General features: G+C 57.4%; 1 protein-coding gene and 1 long non-coding RNA gene across 4 annotated transcripts in view, besides 5 other annotated features; one reads left to right on the top strand and one right to left on the bottom strand.

Annotated features, from left to right (window-relative positions):
* Positions 33–422: a silencer, noted in NCBI's record as "silent region_5106". NCBI's record gives its function as "represses an Ori minimal core promoter by ATAC-STARR-seq in GM12878 lymphoblastoid cells {active_cell/tissue: GM12878}" and the evidence as "EXISTENCE:reporter gene assay evidence [ECO:0000049][PMID:35858748]".
* Positions 836–4679, top strand: PUS1-AS1 (PUS1 antisense RNA 1). The gene is made up of 2 exons (XR_001749414.2): positions 836–1228; positions 4425–4679. It is a non-coding gene; the product is annotated as a PUS1 antisense RNA 1 (long non-coding RNA).
* Positions 3560–4436: an enhancer, noted in NCBI's record as "H3K27ac hESC enhancer chr12:132409300-132410176 (GRCh37/hg19 assembly coordinates)". NCBI's record gives its function as "activates a minimal SCP1, AML or CMV promoter by ChIP-STARR-seq in naive H9 embryonic stem cells {active_cell/tissue: H9 hESC(naive)}" and the evidence as "EXISTENCE:reporter gene assay evidence [ECO:0000049][PMID:30033119]".
* Positions 4538–4857: an enhancer, noted in NCBI's record as "active region_7373". NCBI's record gives its function as "activates an Ori minimal core promoter by ATAC-STARR-seq in GM12878 lymphoblastoid cells {active_cell/tissue: GM12878}" and the evidence as "EXISTENCE:reporter gene assay evidence [ECO:0000049][PMID:35858748]".
* Positions 5018–5077: an enhancer, noted in NCBI's record as "active region_7372". NCBI's record gives its function as "activates an Ori minimal core promoter by ATAC-STARR-seq in GM12878 lymphoblastoid cells {active_cell/tissue: GM12878}" and the evidence as "EXISTENCE:reporter gene assay evidence [ECO:0000049][PMID:35858748]".
* Positions 5488–5567: an enhancer, noted in NCBI's record as "active region_7371". NCBI's record gives its function as "activates an Ori minimal core promoter by ATAC-STARR-seq in GM12878 lymphoblastoid cells {active_cell/tissue: GM12878}" and the evidence as "EXISTENCE:reporter gene assay evidence [ECO:0000049][PMID:35858748]".
* ULK1 (unc-51 like autophagy activating kinase 1) overlaps positions 6041–9315 on the bottom strand; it is a 28529-nt gene continuing 25254 nt past the window's right edge. For all 3 annotated transcript variants that reach the window (XM_011538798.4, NM_003565.4, XM_011538799.3), the window contains exons 26-28: positions 9055–9212; positions 7956–8091; positions 6041–7885 (exon numbers count right to left, since the gene is read on the bottom strand). In XM_011538798.4, coding sequence (XP_011537100.1) covers positions 7830–7885; positions 7956–8091; positions 9055–9212 — 350 coding nt within the window. In that variant the 3' untranslated portion in view covers positions 6041–7829. The remainder of the gene's footprint in view (positions 7886–7955; positions 8092–9054; positions 9213–9315) is intronic.

The following is a 9315-nucleotide window of genomic DNA, read 5'->3' as shown; positions in this document are numbered from 1 at the left end:
GAAGAGGCAGGGCGGGGACAGAGACGGAGGGGGTGATGGGGGCGGAGACTAGGGGGTGGGGGTGGGGTGGGGCGGGGATTAGGGTGTTGAGGGCGGGGCACCAGGCCCTCCTGCATCCAGCACCGCGGCCGCGCGACTGGTCGCTCCGCCGCCGCCTCCCGGGTGCTGTCGCCCGCCCAGCGGAGCAGGGGAAGCGCTGAGCCCACGCTGGCCCCGCTCCTCTCCGTTGCCGGGTCCGCTCCCACGGGCTCGGCCCCCAGACCCTCAGTGGCACCCACCCTGTGCGGCCCTCGTGTGGCCCCAGCCCCGCTCCCCGTCCCCGTTCCACAGACGCTGGGGCGCAGGGGCGGCTCCGCCCTGCCCTTCACCCGCACGGTAGAGGGGTCACGGCTCACCGCAGCCTCCGCCTCCGGGCTCCAGCGGTCCTCGCAGGCGCGCCCCACCACGCTCAGCTAATTTTTTCTTATTTTTTATAGAGATGCGGTCTCCTGAAAAGTAGCCACTCTTTTTTGTTTTGTTTTGTTTTGTTTGGGGGGCGGGGGACAGAGTCTTGCTCTTTCGCCAGGCTGGAGTGCAGTGGCGCGATCTCGGCTCGGAATCTCCACCTCCCGGGCTCAAGCGATTCTCCCGTCTCAGCTTCCGGAGTAGCTGGGACTACAGGCGCGCGCCACCACGCCCGGTTAATTTTTTTGTATTTTAGTAGAGACAGGGTTTCACCATGTTGGCCAGGATGGTCTCGATATCCTGACCTCGTGATCCGCCTTCCTCGGCCTCCCAAAGTGCTGGGATTACAAGCGTGAGCCACGCGCCCGGCCTTTTTTTTTTTTTTTTTTTAAGAGACCGGCCCACTATGTTGCCCAGGCAGATCTCGAACTGCTGAGCTCAAGCGATCCTCCCGCCTCCCCTCCCGAAGTGCTAGGATTCCAGGTGTGGCCACCGCGCCCACCACTTCCTTGCCTCCTCTCCCAAGCTTGCCCTCCTGTCTCCTGCTTTCCCTTAGACAAACTCATATGATCCTGGGCCCGCGCAGATAATCTGGCATAATCTCAAAATCCTTAATCCCATCTCTGGGGCCACAATTCAACCAACTACAAGCTTGAATTTGGGGAATGAGCCATGGAGGTGTTGGGGAGAGCGTGTTCCTGGCAGTGCAAGAGCCAGGAGGCAGGAGACAGCCGTCTGCAGCAGCCCCACTCCCGCCCTCCAGGGGCTGTGCCTTCTCCTACAGGTGAGGACTCAGTGGGGCCGGGGCACTGTGCCCACCTGGAGTATGCAGGTAGAGAAACCACAGGGCTGCGTGATGACTGGAGGGACTGATAGGAAAAGAGGACCAAGGGGTCCGGGGCCAGGTTGTGTGGGGCCTCGTGGGCCACCGAGGACTTGGCATTGGCTATGAGTGAGATGGGAGCCCCAGGGATCCAATCTGACACCCCTTCCCAAGGGGCACTCAGTGGGCTGCGAGTGGCTTGTGAGGAGCTGGTGGCCGAGGCAGGAAGGGGAGGCAGGAGGGAGATGCAATTGTCCAGCTGGGAGGGTGGCTCAGCTGTATAAGTGACCCCCCAGGAGGGCACCCCTCCACCAGCCCAGGCTCCAGGACTGAGGCGGGGGGGTTTGGACAGGCACCCAGGGGGGCCACAGTTCTGTGGCAGTGTGGGCACCAAGGCCTGGTCCCCCTGGCTTGGAGCCCCGCCCCCACATGGCCAGTGTGTGCAGGGATGAGGTCCTTCCTGTACTGCCATGGCTTCCCCTGGGCCCACCCTCACCACCTGGCTCTGGCACAAGGACCTTTACAGCAGCTTTATTTACCACTGCCCAAACGCAGAAACAACCGATATGTCGGCAGGTGAATGGAAAAACTGTGGTACCTACAGACAATGGAATACTATGCAGCTCTAAAAAGAAATGAGGCCAGGCACAGTGGCTCATGCCCGTAATCCTAACGCTTTGGGAGGCCAGGAGGGCGGATCACTTAAGGCCAGGAGTTTGAGACCAGCCTGGCCAGCGTGGCAAAACCCGTCTCTAAAAATACAAAAATCTCTCTCCCTCTCCCTCTCGCTCTCGCTCTCGCTCTCGCTCTCCCTCCCCCTCCCCCTCTCGCTCTCGCTCTCCCCACGGTCTCCCTCTCCCTCTCTTTCCACGGTCTCCCTCTGATGCCGAGCGGAAGCTGGACGGTACTGCTGCCATCTCGGCTCACTGCAACCTCCCTGCCTGATTCTCCTGCCTCAGCCTGCCGAGTGCCTGCGATTGCAGGCGCGCGCCGCCACGCCTGACTGGTTTTCCTATTTTTTTGGTGGAGATGGGGTTTCGCTGTGTTGGCGGGGCTGGTCTCCAGCTCCTAACCGCGAGTGATCCGCCAGCCTCCGCCTCCCGAGGCGCCGGGATTGCAGACGGGAGTCTCGTTCACTCAGTGCTCAATGGTGCCCAGGCTGGAGTGCAGTGGCGTGATCTCGGCTCGCTACAACCTCCACCTCCCACCCGCCTGCCTTGGCCCCCCCAAAGTGCTGAGATTGCAGCCTCTGCCCGGCCGCCACCCCGTCTGGGAAGTGAGGAGCTTCTCTGCCTGGCCGCCCATCGTCTGGGATGTGAGGAGCCCCTCTGCCTGGCTGCCCAGTCTGGAAAGTGAGGAGCGTCTCTGCCCGGCCGCCCATCGTCTGAGATGTGGGGAGCACCTCTGCCCTGCCGCCCCGTCTGGGATGCGAGGAGCGTCTCTGCCCGGCTGCCCCGTCTGAGAAGTGAGGAGCCCCTCTGCCTGCCAACCGCCCCGTCTGGGAAGTGAGGAGCGTCTCCGCCCGGCAGCCACCCCGTCCTGGAGGGAGGTGGGGGTCAGCCCCCACCAGGCCAGCCACCCCGTCAGGGAGGTGAGGGGCGCCTCTGCCCGGCCGCCCCTACTGGGAAGTGAGGAGCCCCCTCTGCCCGGCCACCACCCCGTCTGGGAGGTGTACCCAACAGCTCATTGAGAACGGGCCATGATGACAATGGCGGTTTTGTGGAATACAAAGGGGGGAAGGTGGGGAAAAGATTGAGAAATCAGATGGTTGCCGTGTCTGTGTAGAAAGAGGTAGACATGGGAGACTTTTCATTTTGTTCTGTACTAAGAAAAATTCTTCTGCCTTGGGATCCTGTTGATCTGTGACCTTACCCCCAACCCTGTGCTCTCTGAAACATGTGCTGTGTCCACTCAGGGTTAAATGGATTAAGGGCGGTGCAAGATGTGCTTTGTTAAACAGATGCTTGAAGGCAGCATGCTCGTTAAGAGTCATCACCACTCCCTAATCTCAAGTACCCAGGGACACAAACACTGCAGAAGGCCGCAGGGTCCTCTGCCTAGGAAAACCAGAGACCTTTGTTCACTTGTTTATCCGCTGACCTTCCCTCCACTATTGTCCTGTGACCCTGCCAAATCCCCCTCTGTGAGAAACACCCAAGAATGATCAATAAAAAATAATAATAAATAAATAAATAAATAAAAATACAAAAATTAGCCAGGCTGGGTGCAGTGGCTCACGCCTGTAATCCCAGCTACTCAGGAGACTGGGGCACAAAAGTCGCTTGAACCTTGGGAGGTGGAGGTTGCAGTGAGCCGAGTTCCCGCCACTGCACTCCAGCCCGGACAACATAGCGAGACTGTCTCAAAAAAAAAAAAAAAAAAAAAAAAAAAGGCCAGGCGTAGTGGCTCACGCCTGTAATCCCAGCACTTTGGGAGGCCGAGGCCTGCGGATCACGAGGTCAGGAGATCAAGACCATCCTGGCTAACATGGTGAAACCCCGTCTCTACTAAAAATACAAAAAAAAAATTAGCAGGATGTGGTGGCAGGCCCCTGTAGTCCCAGCTACTCGGGAGGCTGAGGCAGGAGACTGGCGTGAACCCGGGAGGCGGAGCTTGCAGTGAGCGGAGATCGCGCCACTGCACTCCAGCCTGGGCGACAGAGCGAGACTCCGTCTCAAAAAAAAAAAGGAAATGAGCTCCCAAGCCCTGGGCATAGTGTATGATTCCAACTACGGGACATTCTGAAACAAGAAAAACTACGAGGACAGGAAGACCGGGGCCAGCAGAGCTAGGCTGGGAGAGGGCAACAGGTGGAGCCCAGAGGACCTTAGGGTGATGTGTGGCGTGACACTTCTGCAAAGCCCAGTGTACATCGAGTGACCCCATGATGTGAACTATGGACTTCGGGTACTATGACAGAACCTGTAGTATTAGAAGTGTCCATGATTTTTAAAAATCTAAAATATGAATATTGGGTTCAAAAGCAGAGACAAAGGCACTGCACGAATGTGACGTGTTACTGACAGGGGAGAGGGCAGATCTCTCTGTACGTCCTACTCAATTTTCCTACAGATATAAAACTGCTCTAAAAAATGATATTAACACCAACAAAATTCCATGTTTGTAGTGACCGTCTGGGCATTTCTTTACGTTTCAGAAGTACCAGGAGGATCACGGCGCCCACAGCCTGGCAGCTGCTCCACCACACCTTCTCACTCGGTGCCGAGTGCAGCTGTTCCTGTCTGAGGAGGCTCAGTTTGGAAGCAGCCCCTCTTGGGACTCAGAAATCAAGGTCTCCGCCTTCCCCTTCCTCGAGAACACCAACCTCTCAATGAACTTTCACTTCTTACTGCGGTTAGCAGTTTTTAGCAAGTTATTTTTATCTAATAAAAACAATATATAGTTTTAAAAATGCGAACTCTACAGGAGTTCGAGACCAGCCTGGCCAACATGTGAAACCCCGTCTCTACTAAAAATACAAAAAACTAGCTGGGCGCATGCCCGTAGTCCCAGCTATTCGGGAGGCTGAGGCAGAAGAATTGCTTGAACCTGGGAGGCGGACGTTGCGGTGAGCCCAGATTGCAGCACTGCACTCCAGTCTGGGCTACAGAGTGAGATTTCAACTAAAAAAAAAAAAAAAAAAAAAAGTTGGGGCGTGGTGGCTCACGCCTGTAATCCCAGCACTTTGGGAGGATGAGGCAGGCAGGTGGATCACGGGGTCATATTGAGACCATCCTGGACAACATGGTGAAACTCCGTCTCTACTAAAAATACAAAAACTAGTTGGGCGTGGTGGCACTTGGCCTATAATCCCAGCTACTCGGGAGCCTGGAGAATCGCTTGAACCCGGGAGGCAGAGATTGCAGTGAGCCAAGATTGCACCACTACACTCCAGCCTGGGTGACAGAGGGAGACTGTCTCCAAAAAAAAAAAAAAAAAAAAACAGCCAGGTGCGCTGGCTCATGCCTGTAATCCCAGCACTTTGGAAGGTCAAGGCAGGCAGACCACAACATCAGATTGAAACTATCCTGGCTAATACGGTGAAACCCCGTCTCTACTAAAAACAAAACAAAACAAAAACAAAAATTAGCCGGGCTTGGTGGCTGTAGTCCCAGCTACTTGGGAGGCTGAGGCAGGAGAATCTCTTGAACCTGGGAGGCAGAGGTTTCAGTGAGCCGAGATCGCGCCACTGCACTCCGGCCTGAGCAACAGAGTTACTCATTTCAAATTAAAAAATAAATAAATAAATAAAAAGGGGGAGGCAAAGGATTTAGATGTTCCTCCAAAGACACACAAATGGCCGCCAAGTACCTGTGATGCTCCACGTCATGACCCCTCGGGGAAATGCAAATCAAAACCACACGGCAAGGCCTTGGAGGCCCAGCTGCTCAGAGGCTGCAGTGAACGAACCGTGTTGCTTCTTGGAAGTTAACACACAGCTCCACGTGGCCCCGAAAGCCCCTCCTAGGTGTATCCCCCAAAGGAGTCAAAGCAGGTGCCCAAAGCTATACCAAGGCAGATGCCCTGCCCTCTGGACTCTCTTCACCCTGTGCAGGACCCCCAGCCTGGCGGGAGAGGCTTCCTGTGGCGCAGGGGTTTGCATTGTCCCTCAACACATCCAGCTTCTGCCCTGGGGCTCTGCTCCCAGGGCTGTGTCGACCATTGTGGGCACCTGTGGAGGGGCCCTGGGCTCCTGCGCCTCGGCTGAGAAAGAAAATGACAGAACCCTGAAAACAGTGACAAGCCAACGAAGACAAGTGGTGACACCAGCCCAACAATTCCAAAGGTTTATTTCCTTACGTTGGTATTATACAATATAACGCAAAGGGCAGGAAATCACACAAAATTCGCTTTAAAATAGACAAAGGGTCCAGCACTATCAAGAGAACATTCAACCAGGGGCAGCAGTTGAGGCGCCCAGGACCTGCTTGGACACACGCACATGCGGCCGCGACGGAAGCAAGAGGACCAGGACACCGGGCAAGATCCCCGCAGTGCCAGCTTCCCAGGACTCAGGATTCCAGTCGGCCATGAAGCAATAAATACAAACATGCCCCACAAGGTGAGAATAAAGCCATCAAGGTGATGAGGAAGAAGTCACGGGGATTTTCTTCTTCTAAGTCCAAGCACAGTGGCAATATTTCAAGTATTGCAAAGAAAAACACACGTGTGTGTATTTTTGTCTGTTATGTGGCGTGTGACCCTGGAACCCCCCGCATGGGTCCATGGCCCCACCACTGCCTCCCGCAGACTGGGGACTCGTTCAAGTATCTACTGATTCAGGCAGGGCTAATCGAGGGCTGGGCAGACCAAGGGAGGCCCAGGCGGGGTTTGCAGGGCATGCCCGCCTGGAATCCGGAAGGCAGGCCTCTCTGCAGATGCCCTCCGTGGCCTTGGGCAAGGCAGAGGCAGGGAGGGACAGGGCTGTCATCAGGCCTACCCTGCCGAGGAGCTGACATCAAAACTGACTGTCAAAGCTGGACGGGGAGCTTTTGCACATGTTACTTTTTTCTTTGCATGAAGTATTCCCCTCATCTGCTTCCAGGCCCAGGTAGGGAGGGTGCTGGGCACACACCTGTCCTGCTGCTGCCACAGGGAGGGGCGGCAGGGGACAGCCACCAACACAGGTGTGCAAAGCAGCCTCACCCGCCCGCCACACGCCCCTGTGCCATCTGCCTCTAACCTGGCCCAGTCCTCGCCCTCCCAAAACCAATTCTTAAACACCTACAAGTTTTCTCCTTTAAAGAAAAAATGAGCTGCATAAAAATAAGACACGTTTTAGGAATAAAGTGTGAAAGATTACAAGACGTATCCAGGGCTGAGAGAACACGGTGCCTCTGCTGCCGGTCCCCAGAGGAACGCTTGAACAAAGAACTGCCTCTGCCTCTAGCGCAGGGCCCCACTCCCCCCGGAGCCAGTTCTCCCGCTGAGGTCCAGACCTGGGCAGCAACGTGGTCCGGTGCTCGGGCTTGGGGGGCCCTGGCATGTGTCTGCATATGTGTATGTACAAACACCAGGCCACTGCCAGGAATCGCTGCCCAGCAGTCCCTGGTGAGGTCCAGGTTCTGTCTCTATATGCATAAAGTGCTTGGGTGATTGACAAAGCTGGGTGGGTATCTCGGAGGGAGAGGCTCCTGGAGACTGGGGGACGCCGAGGCCGCAGGCTCTTCCTGGGCACAGTGCCTGCTGACCTTCCCTAAGCAGGAGCTCGCTTTGGCTTTGAGTCGGCAGTGGTCTCAGGCCCTTGCCTGTCCTCCGGGGCTGCCCTGGGGCTAGAGGGTGGTGGCACCCACGCCTGCTGAGCCAGGCAGCTGGAGGGGCAGAAATTCTGTGATCCCCACCTGTAAAAGATGGGAGACACCCCCCAAGCTGTGTGGCTCCAGATGTGCTGGTTCTGCCCCGTGAGCTGCAGGGAGGCCGGCAGGCTGACTGTCCGTGGGGCCCAGGGCAGGGCTCAGCACCAGCGATCAGCGCCATGGGCTTGTCCCGAGGAGTCCAGCCAGCACACAGAGCCCACTCTGCAGGGCTCGGCAGGACGGGGGGCCCAGCCAGGCCAGAAAGGTCAGGCACAGATGCCAGTCAGCAGCGCCGAGAGTCTCCGCTCAATGCACAGCTTGCCTGTGGAGGGAGAGGGGAGTGTGAGGGAGACGCCCAGAGTCCCCAGCCCCCAGCCCAGCCGGGCACTCACACTTGGTGACGTTCTCGATGTCGGCCTGGTCCGAGAGCATGTGCTGCAGCCCCTCCAGGAGCAGCAGGGCCTTGTGGTAGCGTGGGACGCAGCCCTCACGGTGCTGGAACATCTCGTCCAGGGCAGCCGACTGCACCTGGGGGCGAGGACAGAGGCTGGACAGGGCCAGCTCACCCCACTCCCTCCCAGCAAGGGCTGCCCTGCACCCACGGCAGCGGCCCAGGGGTGGCAGATAGGCGCTCAGGGCAGTGACGTGGAGACATAAGTGCTGGTGCAGCCTGCTGTGCAGAGGGGATGGTCACAGGGCCAAGGGGAGACACTGCCTGGAACCAGATGACCCTGGCCAGCGCTCTCAGCCCGGCCCCAGGACAACAGAGTGCCCGCCGCTCAGTCAGTGTCATTACTGCTGCTGCCTGGCCTGCCTGGGCGGGAAGGGGGGCAGGAGGGAGGCTGACTTTTCCCATGTTTGTTCAGACTGGATTTTTACTACATGCTTAAATTTTCTTAAAAAAGGAGACTCAGGCACTCATGAGTTTTTGCCTGTAATACCCAGCATCTTGGGAAGCTGAGGCAAGAGGATCATTTCAGCCCAGGAGTTAGCGGCTACACTACACTTCAGCCTGGGCAACAGTGCAAGACCCTCTCTTAAAAAAAAACAACAAAAAATAAACGAAAAGGGGGCACCACCTCAGAGGCAGAGGGAGCTCTTCAGAGCCCAAGCAGGGAGTCTTTGCCCGTGGTACCACCTGAGTGCACCACACTTCCAGGCAGGTTGTCCGGGACCAGGTGCTGCTTCTGGAGGCTGACACCTGACTACGAGGCCTGAAGACCAAGTCTCTCATTTTACAATTGGGGAAACTGAGTCGGGGCGAGGCAGGATGCACATGGGCCACGGCACCCGTACAATCAAGGATGCACCCAGCCGAGCTGCGAGCGCCTGCAGGAGGCTGGGGGTGCATAATGCTGTCATTTCAAGACCTCCAGAAGTGACACCCCCCAAAGTCTCACCACGCTGTGGGCATCAAGGTCCCGTCCCAGTGGAGACGGCGGGCCTGGAAGTTCCTGGCCCCTGCCCCACTGGTGTCTGTCTGTCCCGTACCATCTGCACAGCGTGGCTGAAGATGAGCCTCTCGGCAGTGATGCTGTGAATGCGGTCCAGGAGCCGCTGCTTGTCCAGGAAGAAGCGCTGCAGCCGCAGGCTCAGGCCCTGGCAGGACACCACGCTGGCCTTGTACAGCTCATTCAGCCTGCGCACCACTGCAAAGGACGAGGGTGGTCAGCTCAGGGTGCAGCAGACACGGGGCAGGGCTGGAGTGGCCATGATCTGCCCGGTGCACTGAGCGAGCACGTCCCTCCCTCC

Source organism: Homo sapiens, chromosome 12, assembly GCF_000001405.40.
Source record: "Homo sapiens chromosome 12, GRCh38.p14 Primary Assembly".
Classification (NCBI taxonomy): domain Eukaryota; kingdom Metazoa; phylum Chordata; class Mammalia; order Primates; family Hominidae; genus Homo; species Homo sapiens.
The sequence above is the reverse complement of the archived record's forward strand: the minus strand, read 5'-3'. Positions and strand labels throughout refer to the sequence as shown.